This window comes from Homo sapiens, chromosome 2 (genome assembly GCF_000001405.40).
Source record: "Homo sapiens chromosome 2, GRCh38.p14 Primary Assembly".
In the NCBI taxonomy this organism is placed as follows: domain Eukaryota; kingdom Metazoa; phylum Chordata; class Mammalia; order Primates; family Hominidae; genus Homo; species Homo sapiens.
The window spans coordinates 54016747-54029909 of NC_000002.12; the positions used below are offsets into that span (position 1 = coordinate 54016747).

Below are 13163 nucleotides of genomic sequence, written 5' to 3' on the forward strand. Positions count from 1 at the left end.
TTGGGGTCTTGCTGTGTCGCTCAGGCTGGAGTGCAGTGGCACGATCTCGGCTCACTGCAAGCTCCGCCTCCTGGGTTCACGCCATTCTCCTGCCTCAGCCTCCCGAGTAGCTGGGACTACAGGCGCCCGCCACCACGCCCGGCTAATTTTTTGTATTTTTAGTAGAGATGGGGTTTCACCGTGTTAGCCAGGATGGTCTCCATCTCCTGACCTCATGATCCACCCATCTCGGCCTCCCAAAGTGCTGAGATTACAGGCGTGAGCCTCCGCGCCCGGCCCTTCAGTGTCTTTTGAGGACCTTCTTGCTGATTCTCACATGGCAGAAGGGTTGAAAAGGGCAAAAGGGAACAAGGACTGTCCTCACGTAGCAGAGGAGCAAAAGCAAATGGACCCACTCCCTCAAGCCCTTCTGTAAGGGCCCTTATCACATCCATGAGGGATCAGCTCTCAGGTCTTAATTACCTCCTAAAGGCCCCCTCTCTTTATACAATCATATTGGCCGTTAAGTTTCTTTTCTTTTCTTTTCTTTTTTTTTTTTTTTTGAGACAGAGTCTCAGTCTGTGCAGTGGCACCATCTCAGTTTACTGCAGCCTCTGCCACCCGGGTTCAGTGATTCTCCTGCCTCAGCCTCCCAGGTAGGTGGGATTATAGGTGTGAACCACCACGCCTGGCTAATTTTTGTATCTTTAGTAGAGATGGGGTTTCACCATGTTGGCCAGGCTGATCTCGAGCTCCTGACCTCAAGTGATCTGCCCACCTCAGCCTCCCAAAGTGCTGGGATTATAGGCATGAGCCACTGTGCCTGGCCAGGCCATTAAGTTTCAACATATGAATTTTGGAAAACACATTCAGCCCATAGAAATTTCTTTAAAATATATTTCTGATACTATTGCATTCAATCTTATAGATAGACGTAGTTCAGGAGTCAGTGGCTCTGTAATTCTTATGAAAAATAGTATTCCTTTATCCCCATCTTGTATTATTGGTCCTTGATCTTTTGCTGAGTGAGTAAGTACAGGCATCTCACAGGCTACTGTATTACGTGTGTGTGGGTTTGGTAGTCAGGGGTGAGTGGAAGGAGTGGCAGTTATCAGTGAGCGTGTGTTACTATTTGTTGTATTTAAAAATTTTTTTTTCAAAACAGGGTCTCACTTTGTTGTCTTGGATGGTCTTGAACTCCTGGCCTCATGTGATCCTGCCTCCTTGGCCTCCCAAACTACTGGGATTACAGGTGTGAGCCACTGCACCTGGCCAGTGCTCCTATTTGAAAGCACATCTTCACTCTCCCCTCCATTAGATCTGAGCTCCCCTCCTTTAGATCTACTGAACGTGGGGAGACGATGGACCTGTGTTGTAACCTAGCAACCCAGAGCACGTTTTCTTCTGTATTGCAATAGCTAGGTAGCCATCTGCCTAGATGTAGACCAGTAGTTCTCAAACCTAAGTAAGCATCAGTATCACCTAGAGGGTTTCACTGAGCCCCTCCCCCAGAGTTGCTGATCAGGAGGTCTGAAGTGGGTGAGGCCCAAGAATTTGTATTTCCATTAGATTCCCATGTTACACTGATGTTGCTGATTCAGGGACCATACTTGAGAGCCGCTGGTATAGTGGGAAAGAAAACATCAAAAGGGAAAAAAAGAACCCAATGAACACAAAACTTTAAATCAGGTGCTTTCTGATGTCTTTTTTGTTTTGACAGTGTGAACATTGTAGTAATTAATTCAATTAATTGTTGCCAGATGAACAGAATAAAAGGCACAGGTTAAAAAAAAAAGGGAGTGGGGAGCTAGGTGTGGTGGCTCATGCTTGTAATCCCAGCACTTTGGGAGGCTGAGGTGGGAGAATCAGTTGAGGTTAAGAGTTTGAGAACAATCTGGACAACATAGCGGGACCCCTTCTTTACAAAAATAAATAAGTAGAAATAAAATACAAAATAGAACTTCTTATGGCTTTTGCTCTTTATATTAAGCATTTGCAAAATCAATCGCTATCTGGGTACTTTTAATTTATTTCCTTTTTTAGACAGAGTCTTACTCTGTCGCCCAAGCTGGAGTGCAATGGCTCCATCTCGGCTCACTACAACGTCCGCCTCCCAGGTTCAAGTGATTCTCCTGCCTCAGCCTCCTGAGTAGCTGGGATTACAGGTGTGCACCACCACACCTGGCTAATTTTTGTATTTTTCGAAGAGATGGGGTTTCACTAAGGCCAAGCTGGTCTCAAACTCCTGATCTCAAGTGATCCACCTGCCTTGGCCTCCCAAAGTGCTGAGATTACAGGCGTGTGCCACCATGCTTGGCCTATTTTTTTATTATTATTATTATTATGTTTTTTTTTTTTGGCAACAAGGCCTTGCTCTGTCACCCAAGTTGGAGTGCGGTGGCACAATCATGGCTCACTGCAGCTTCAACCTCCTGGGCTCAAGCAATCCTTCCACCTCAGCCTCCTTAGTAGCTGGGCCTGTAGGTGCATGCCACCACACTTGGCTAATTTTTAAAAATATTTTTTGTGGAGATGTGTGTCTCCCTATGTCACCCAGGCTGGTCTTGAGCTGCTATCTTCAAGTTATCCTCCTGCCTCAGCTTCCTGAAGTGCTAGGATTACAGGGATGAGCCACTGAGCTTGGCCTTTATTTTAATTTTATTTTTTTTGACACACAGTCTCACTCTGTCACTTAGGCTGGAATGCAGTGGTGCAATCATGGTTCATTGCAACCTCGACCTCCTGGGCTCAAGCAATCCTCCAGCCTCGTTTTGCATACTGCCCAGGCTAATCTCAAACTCCTGGGCTCAAGCAATTCACCTACCTCAGCCTCCCCAAGTGCTGAGATTACAGGCATGAGCCACCATTCCTGGCCCCTGTGCTTTTATTATTATTATTATTATTATTATTTTGAGACGGAGTCTCACTCCGTCACCCAGGCTAGAGTGCAGTGGCGTGATCTCAGCTCACTGCAGCCTCTGCCTCCCGGGTTCAAGCGATTCTCCTGCCTCAGCCTCCCGAGTAGCTGGGATTACAAGCATGAGCCACCATGCCTGGCTAATTTTTGTATTTATGGTAGAGATGGGGTTTTACCATGTTGATCAGGTTGGTCTCGAACTCCTGGCCTCAGGTGATCCACCTGCCTCGGCCTTCCAAAGTGCTGGGATTACAAGCATGAGCCACTGCACCTGGCCTTTTCTTTTGAATGATGCTTCTTTTTTGTTTGTTTGTTTTTGAGACGGAATCTCACTCTTTTGCCAATGCTGGAGTACAATGGTGCAATCTCGGCTCACTGCAACCTCCTGGGTTCAAGGGATTCTCCTGCCTCAGCCTCCTGAGTAGCTAGGATTATAGGTGCCCACCACCATGCCTGGCTAATTTTTGTATTTTTAGTAGAGATGGGGTTTAGCCATGTTGGTCAGGCTGGTCTCGAATTCCTGATCTCAGGTGATTCACCAGTCTCAGCCTCCCAAAGTGCTGCGATTACAGGCGTGAGCCACCGTGCCTGGCCTTAATGATGCTTCTTAATCAGAATACAGTTCCTGCTGATTGAATTAATAAAACTGTAATTGTGTTGTAATTGTTTTCCCTCTGGGAGAGGAAGTATCAGTACAATACTTTCTTTAAATGCTATTAAAAAATAATGCTCCTAAACAAGATTTTAAAATGTCCTACCAGAGACTATAAAACAGTGGGTCAAATGTTTGCTTAAAAGAAAAAAAGCCAAAAATTACATAGCTCAGTAATTGCTGTCACATTGGAAGGCTATAAAGTTAGTGCAATTATCCTGTCATTACCTAAAAAAAGGATAGGCAAACTGCAGACTGTGGGCCAAATACCCACAAACTGCTCCTGTAAATAAAATTATTGGAACACATCTAAACTCACTCATTTAAGTATTGTCTACAGCTGCTTTCTTGTGACAGCAGTGTTGATTAGTTGTGCGAGAATCCATATGATCCACAAAGCCTAAAATATTTATCATCTAAATATATACAGAAAAAGTTTACCAATCCCTGGCCTAAAATAGTTTTGGAGCTCTTATTTTGTTTCTTGTTTAATTTTAGAAACATGGGAAGTTTTTTGAATAGCATCTATGTTGCAAATTTTAATTTGTTAAGGTAGACTTGATTTTTCAGAAATACCAAAGGTCATTTGTGTTAAAGAATGGTAAATGTTAAAATAAATTTTCAGTGCCACAAAGAAATAGCACTGGAACATAAATTTAATTTTCTCAGCAAGGCAATTTTTACTTCTATAGAAGGGTACAACTCACAGATGGAGCAATGGCGAGAGCACATTTGAACAAGGGAGGGGAAGGGGTTTTATTCCTGATGCAGGTAGCCCCTACTGCTGTGTTGTTCCTCTCTTGGCTAGGGTTGAACCGCACAGTCTAAGCTAATTCTGATTGGCTGTTTTAAGGAGCAGGCATACGAGCCGGAGTGGTAGGGTGAGTAGTTTGGCACGAAGGGTGGTTACAGAACAGGTAACTCGGGATGATTCAGGTCAGAGCAGCTGACCATGGGTGACTCAGGATGGAGCAGGTGACCAGGGGAATAGATGTGAACTACTAATTAGAACTGGTGGAAAAGATTGTTTACTGAAACTAGGGGCAAGGAGAACGAGGAAGTTAAACTTTAAAATGGAGAATGAAGAACAGGGGAGCTGAACATATTGATACCATTGGTTCTTTGGAGAGGATCTCAGAACTCATTGTACTTAACAATTTACAGTCTAAAATCTTTGAAGAGGAATTTATTATATCCTACAGTAAATAAGTTGGGTGATCACTTGTTCTGATCCTGTTTCATCCAAAATAAAATGTGCATGTATTTAAAATAACTACACTAATTTTATTATGAGGTTCTTAAAAGGCTCTGAAGCGCAAAAGTGGGGTTCCCAGAAATGTCCAAGCCACAGTAGCATTGTTGACATAAACATATTCATTGCCTCCTCTGCTTTCTTTTAAAATTGATCCTGAATACGAATGTCCACATAATCCAAAACAACTGGACAAATAAATTGAGCATTTTTTGGAGTCATGGAGTACAAAAGAAGTTATATGAGGGAGCTTTTTATTTTACAACTGGGTTGTACTGGTGTTAAACACATAATCCTAAATTTAGTTGAACCATCTGGGCAACTCTTAATAAATAGTGAGAACAGACTGTTCTGTGAAGACGGGCACATTTTAAGTGCTCGGGCAGCATAAATACTTTGGCCAACCTTGAGCCAGTGAGCCAAGTAAAAAAATAAAAAAATGACCCCTAGAGAAATCCCTATCATCTTACCAGTGGTATTACTGAGCTTGCTTTCCCCCACAACTTCCTATTCTGAAAATTTTCAAATCTATAGAAAAGTTGCAAGAATACAACTCATATATTTGTCATCTTGATTCACCAATTTTGAATGTCTTGCCACATTTGCTTTTTTCCCTCTCTCCTTCCCTCCTTCCCTTCTTTCCTTCCTTCCCTCCTTCCTTTTTTCTTTTGTTAAATTATTTGAGAAGTTGTAGATATCATGACATCTTACCCCTGACAGGGTTCAGGATTCGCTACCCCAAAATATGGTGACCTGTTGTATTTAATATTTTGGGCTTTTATTTTGTTTTGTTCTGTTTTGAGACAGGGTCTCACCCTGTCACCCATGCTAGAGTACAGTTTTGTTTTGTTTTGAGACAGGTTCTCACTCTGTCACCCATGCTAGAGTACAGTGGCCTGATAGCAGCTCACTGCAGCCTTGAACTTCTGGGCTCAAGTGGTCCTCCTCCCTCAGCCTTCTGAGTAGTTGGGAGTATAGGCAGGTGTCACCATGCTCAGCTAATTTTTTTTTTAAGTAGATGTGGGGTCTCCCTATGTTGCACAGGGTGGTCTTGAATTTCTGACCTCAAGCAACCCTCCCACCTCAGCCTCACAAAGTATTGGGATTACCCGGGCATGAGCCGCTGTGCCAGGCCCATATTTAAAATTTAAGCTGAAGGAATTTGAGAAGTGGTAGATGCAGAAAGGACTCTCTGACCATTCACTGAAGCAGGTTGTAGGAGTCTCAGGCAAGGGGTGCCCTCTCCATTCCCCTTGTCTCTGAAGATGGAGAGACGCCTCCCAAGAGGAATCCGAATGGACAGGCCTTGCTGTTTCCCCAGTTTATTTTCCTTAGCTCATACGCCTTTTGTCCTATCATATTTTTCACGACTTTCCAATCTTCATCAAACCTAGTGTTAAAACACACAGGTTTAACTGTTTCTTCAGCTCTGGTTTTCCTTATTAAGGCTCCCATATCATATAAGACTTACATTAAATAAGTTTGTATTCTTTTCTCTTGTTAATCTGTCTTTTGTTTTTGAGACCCAGCCTGACCAAAAAGGGTAAAAGAAAAAATATTTTTTCTTTCCTATACCCAGCGTGCATAGCCTCATAACCTTTCAAAGAATTGTTGTTAATTTCCAGGTGATTATGCTTTTTTGTTGTTGATCATTTCATTTTACATTTTATGTGTGTGTGGGTTGTGACCATATATTTTATTATTCTTGAATAATCACCCAGAAGTGGAATTGCTAGCTCTTATGGAAAGTATGTGTTTAACTTTATAAGAAATGTCACACTAATTTTTTTTAAGAGAGGGGTCTCCCTATGTTGTCTAGCCTGGTCTCAAACTCCTAGGCTCAAGTAGTCCTTTTGCCTCAGCCTCCTGAGTATCCGGGATGACAGCCTACCTGATTTTTAGAGCAACTTTATCATTTTGTTTTCCTGTAGTCAAAGTTTGAGAATTTCAGGTGCTTTATATCCACATGAACCCTTGAGTTTTCCAGTCTTTTACATTTTAACCATTTTAGTATATTGCTAATAGTATTGCATTGTGACTTGATTTGCATTTGTCTGTGACTAAAGGTGTTGAGTATCCTTTCATGGGCGTACTGCATTTATACACCATTTTTGGGTATTGTATGTATTTTTGCCAAATTTTTAAAAATAAACTTAAAGTTTTTTTCCTGGAAACATACAATCCTGCTAGATTAAACCAGGAAGAAATAGAAACTCTGAACAGACCAATAACAAGCAGCGAGATTGAAATGGTAATAAAAAAATTGCCAACAAAAAAATGTCCAGGACCAGATGGATTCACAGCTGAATTCTACCAGACATTCAAAGAAGAAGTGGTACCAATTCTGTTGACACTATTCCAGAAGATAAAGAGGGAATCCTTCCTAAATCATTCTAGGAAGCCAGTATCACACTAAAACCCAAACCAGGAAAGGACATAACAAAAAAAGAAAATACAGAGCAATATCCCTGATGAACATAGATGCAAAAATCCTCAACAAAATACTAGCTAACTGAATCTAACAGCATATCAAAAAGATAATCCAGGCTGAGTGCGGTGGCTCATGCCTGTAATCCCAGCACTTTGGGAGGCTAAAGTGGGTGGATTACCTGAGGTCAGGAGTCCTAGCTAACATGGCAAAACCCCATCTCTACTAAAAATACAAAAATATTAGCTGGGTGTTGTGGCTCGTGCCTGTAGTCCCACCTACTCAGGAGGCTGATGCAGGAGAATCACTTGAACCTGAGAGGCAGAGATTGCATTCAGCCGAGATCCCGTCACTGTACTCCAGCCTGGGCAACAGATCAAGACTCTGTCACACACACAAAAAAAGATAATCCACCATGATCAAGTGGGTTTCATACCAGGGATGCAGGGATGGTTTAACATACGCAAATCAATAAATGTGATACACCACATAAACAGAATTAAAAACAAAAACCACGTGATCATCTTAATAGATGCAGAAAAAGCATTTGACAAAATCCAGCATCCCTTTATGATTAAAACCCTTACAAAATTGGCATAGAAGGGACATATCTTAAGGTAATAAAAGCCATATATGACAAACCCACAGCCAACATTATACTGAGTGGGGAAAAGTTGAAAGCATTACCCCTGAAAACTGGAACAAAACAAGGATGCCCTCTTTCACCACTTCTATTCAACATAGTACTGGAAGTCCTAGCCAGCACAATCATACAAGAGAAAGAAATCAAGGGCATCCAATTGGTAAAAAGGAAATCAAACTGTCGCTGTTTCCTGACGATATGATCATATACCTAGAAAACTGTAAAGACTCATCCAAAAAGCCTCTAGAACTGATAAGTGAATTCAGTAAAGCTTCAGAATACAAAAATCAGTGTACACAAACCAGTAGTACTGCTATACAGCAACAGCAACCAAGCTGAGAATCAAATCAATAATTCAACCCATTTTACAACAGCTGCAAAACAAAACAAAACAAAAAAACTTAGGAATATACCTAACCATGGAGATGAAAGACCTCTACAAGGAAAACTACAAAACACTGCTGAAAGAAATCAGGGACTACATAAACAAACGGAAACACATCCCATGCTCCTGGATGGGTAGAATCAATATTGTGAAAATGACCATACTGTCAAAAGCAATCTACAAATTCAATGACATTCTCATCATTCTTCACATAACTAGAAAAAATGATCCTAAAATTCATATGGAACCAAAAAGAAACCATATAGCCAAAGCAAGACTAAGCAAAAAGAACACATCAGGAGCCATCACATTACCTGACTTTAAACTATACTATAAGGCTATAGTCACCAAAACAGCATGGTATTGGCATAAAAATAGGCACATAGACCAGCAGAACAGAATAGAGAACCTAGAAAGCCAAGTACTTACAGCCAACTGATCTTCAACACAGCAAACAAAAACATAAAGTGGGGAAAGGACATCCTATTCAACAAATGGTGCTGGGATAATTAGTAAGCTACATGTAAAACAATGAAACTGGATTCTCATCTCTTACCTTATAAAAAAATCAACTCAAGATGGATCAAAGACTTGAATATACAACCTGAAACCATAAAAATTCTGAAAGATAACATCAGAAAAACTCTTCTAGACATTGTCTTAGTCTGAGACATCGACTTAGTCTAAGACATCATGACTAAGAACCCAAATGCAAATGCAACAAAAACAAAGATAAATAGATGGGACTTAATTAAACTAAAAAGCTTCTGCACAGCAAAAGAAATAATCAGCAGAGTAAACAGACAACCCTGACTAGGCATGGTGGCTCATGCCTGTAATCCCAGCGCTTTGGGAGGCCGAGGCAGGAATTTGAGGCTGAGGTCAGGAATTTGAGACTGAGGTCAGGAATTTGAGAGCAGCCTGGCCAACATGGTGAAACCCCATCTCCATTAAAAATATAAAAATTAGCCAGGCGTGATGGCAGGCGCCTGTAGTCCCAGCTACTTGGGAGGGTGAGGCAGGAGAATCACTTGAATGCAGGAGGTGGAGGTTGCAGTGAGCTGAGATCGCACCACTGCACTCCAGTCTGGGTGGCAGAGCGAGACTCTGTCTCAACAAACAAACAAACAGATAGACAATCCACAGTGTGGGAGAAGATCTTTGCAAACTATGCATCTTACAAAGGACTAATGTCCAGAATCTACAAGGAACTCAAATTAGCAAGAAAAAAACAATCCCATTAAAAAGTGGGCTAAGGACATGAATAGACAGTTCTCAAAAGAAGATATATAAACGGCCAACAAACATGAAAAAATGCTCAACATCACTAATTATTGGTGAAATGCAAATCAAAACCACAATATGATACCAGCAACAATAACCATAATTAAAAAATAAAAAAAAAATAGATGTTGGCATGAATGTGGTGAAAAGGGAACACTTTTACACTGCTGGTGGGAATGTAAACTAGTACAACTACTATGGAAAACAGTATGGAGATTCCTTAAAGAACTAAAATTAGATCTACCATTTGATCCAGCAATCCCATTACTGGGTATCTACCCAGAGGAAAATAAGTCATTATATGAAAAAGACACTTGCACATGCTTGTTTATAGCAGCACAATTCGCAACTGCAAAAATATGGAACCAGCCCAAATGCCCATCAATCAATGACTGAATAAAAAGAGTCATGTATCTATACCATAGAATTCTACTCAGCCATAAAAGGAAATGAAATAATGGCATTTGCAGCAACCTGGATACAATTGAAGACCATTATTTTAAATTAAGTAGGTCAGGAAAGGAAAACCAAACATCGTATGTTCTCACTTAGAAATGGGAGCTAAGTTATAAGGATGCAAAGGCATAAGAATGATACAATGGACTTTAGGGACTTGGGGGGAAGGGTGGGAGGGGAGCGAGGGATAAAAGACTACACACTGGGTACAGTGTACACTGCTTAGGTGATGTGTGCGCCAAAACCTCAGAAATCACCACTAAAGAACTTACCATGTAACCAAACATTATCCGTTCTCCAATAACAGTTTTAGGTTTACTGAAAAATTGCCAAGATAGTAGAGTGAGTTCACATATATCCTGTAGCCAGTTTCCTCTATTATTAACATTAGCATTGTTGGGGCTCAGAACATAATGTCCAGAAATAGGGTAGTTTGAAAACTGAGAAGATAGCAGAAGCAGGAGGGTCTCTTTGACCTTCTCTTGTGCCTTTCTCCCCTAAAGCAAGCCATAAAAACTAGAATTGCCTTCACCCTTTTTCTCCTCTGAAGCAGACCATAAAAACTTGGAGGGTCACTCTCTGGCCTTTTCCCTCCTTTTCCCCCAGAAGGCTGTCATGTAACAGCTGTCCTGCCCTGTATCCCAGGGAAGAAATATCAAACAGGGATGCCAAGAAGAAACTGAACAAACGAGCCTAATTCCTCCCAGTTTGTTACCATTCCATCATACCTTTTGTCTTCCAATCATACTTCAGACTATCATAAAAATACACAGTTTTTCTGGGTCTTCTCGTTTCTGAAAGCTCTCATGTCACATAAAACTTATACTAAATAATTTTGTTATGCTTTTCTCTTGTTAATCTGTCTTTTATTATAGAGGTCTCAGCCATAAACCTTGCAATGGGTGAGGAAATCTGTTCTTCTCTACATCTTGGTATATTTGTTATAATTCAGGAACCAATATTGATACATTATTGTGAATAAAAGTCCATACTTTATTCAGATTTCTTCAGGTTTTACCTAATGTCTTTTTCTGTTTCAGAACCCCATCTAGGATATCAGATTATATTTAGTCATCATGTTTCTTTCTTTCTTTCTTTTTTTTTTTTTTTTTTTTGAGACAGAGTCTCACACTGTTGTCCAGGCTGGAGTGCAGTGTCACGATCTCAGCTCACTGCTGCAACCTCCACCTCCCGGGTTCAAGTGATTCTCCTGCCTCAGCCTCCCAAGTAGCTGGGGTTACAGGTGCCTGCCACCACACCCGGCTAATTTTTGTATTTTTAGTAGAGATAGGGTTTCACCATGTTGACCAGGCTGGTCTCGAACTCATGAGCTCAGGTGATCTGCGTACCTTGGCCTCCCAAAGTGCTGGGATTATAAGCATGTGCCACCGTGCCTGGCCTTAGTCATTATGTTTCTTTGGGCTACTCTTGGCTATGGCAATTTCTCAGACTTTTTTTGTTTTTAATGACCTTGATAGTTTTGAAGACTACTCATCAGATATTTTGTAGAATGTTCTTCAACTGGAATTTGTCTAATGTTTTTCTTATTATTAGACTGGGTTTATGGGTTAAGGGGACGAGAATGTTGGGACTCAGAAACCAATACTCCAAAATATGGCATTCTGACATGCTGAATTGAAGAAAAAGCCTCAAGGTCTCTCTGACTTTCCCGGCAATTCCCCTCAGCCTCCTGGCTCTCAATCTTATTTTTCTCTCTGTAAACATGGGATGATGTTCTCTGAAGTTCCCTCATCTACTTAAAGTCCAGACCCACCAAAGAAGAAAATAGTTATTTCTGGTACCTTCTCTGAGTTTTTATTAACTGAACTCAAATCACAGGAAGAAAGACTGAAGTCTGTCAACACACCTGGATGGACAGACTTTTGTCACAAACCATTGTTTTCTCAGCAGATCCAATAGACTTTGTCCCAGGCCATTGTATGTTCTTCGGTCCCATTGAATTCCCCTAAATACCATTTACTACTCTCCTAAAATCATCCACTCTTCCCCATCTCCCTTTCCCCTAAAAAGAAGGGCATATAACCATCTGTAGTTCATTGCATAGTTGGGAAACGCTCTGTGGTTCTTCCCTGCACACGTTAATAAATTTGCACACCATTTCCCCTATTAATCTTGCTCGGCACAGTGGTTTACTTCTGTAATCCCAGAATTTTGAGAACTGGTGGCTGGAGGATCATTGAGCTCAGCAGTTTGAGACCACTTTGGGTAAGATAGTGAGACCTCATCTCTACAAAATATATATATTTTAAAAATTAGCCAGGTATGGTGGTGTTGCCTGTGGTCCCCAGCTACTCAGGAGGCCGAGGTAGGAGCATGGCTTCAGCCTGGAAAGCTGAGGCTGCAGTAAGCCATGATGACACCACTGTACTCTAGCCTAGGTGACAGAGGGAAATCCTGTCTCAGGAAAAGAAAAAAAAATCTGCCCTTTGTCAGTTGATTTTTCAGTGAACCTTCAGAGGGTGAAGAGGAAGTTTTCCCTTCACTCCTACAAAAACTACAGCGGTGGAGTACCATTTTCATCACACATATCAAGGGTACATACTACCAGCATAACCTCTCACTGTTGATGTTTACCTTGATGACCTACCTGAGGTCATATTTACCAGGTTTCTTACATTTTATTACTTTTTTTTTCCGTCCAGAGGTCATATATATACATATATATACACACATATGTATATATGTATATGTACACACACATATATGTGTATATATGTATTATGCATGAATTCATAGGGAAGTGGTTCCAGCAACTCAGGCTCCTTCCCATTGGTTCTCTCACATTGTCTTCTCTGGGTGGAGCTGACTGGTGCTTCAGTTGAATCCAGGTAACTTTCTCTTTGGCTTCCTTCTTTTTCTGATCATTTTCCTTCATGCGTTTCAGGAAATTCTCTTAGCTTGTAGAGTGCTTAAAGTGCTTAATACCCACGTTAATTCTCTTGGCAGGAATCTTGCCCTTAACTTGTTTGTTTACAACAATGCCAACAGCATGCTGGGGAACATTGTAGGCTCTTCCAGTTTAGCCATGGTGACACTTGGGGGGCATTCCTATTTGAACAGTGCCCACTCCCTTGATGTCTACAATATCACCTTTCTTACAGATTTGTTCCCAGAACCAAGCCGGGTCCGGCTGTGTTTTCTCGAGG

At 41.3% G+C, this 13163-nt stretch overlaps 1 protein-coding gene and 1 pseudogene across 2 annotated transcripts in view; one reads left to right on the top strand and one right to left on the bottom strand.

Moving 5' to 3' along the window:
- Positions 1 to 13163, top strand: part of ACYP2 (acylphosphatase 2) — a 334188-nt gene that overhangs the window by 45634 nt on the left and 275391 nt on the right. The window lies entirely within an intron of this gene.
- Positions 12734 to 13121, bottom strand: RPL21P30 (ribosomal protein L21 pseudogene 30; annotated as a pseudogene).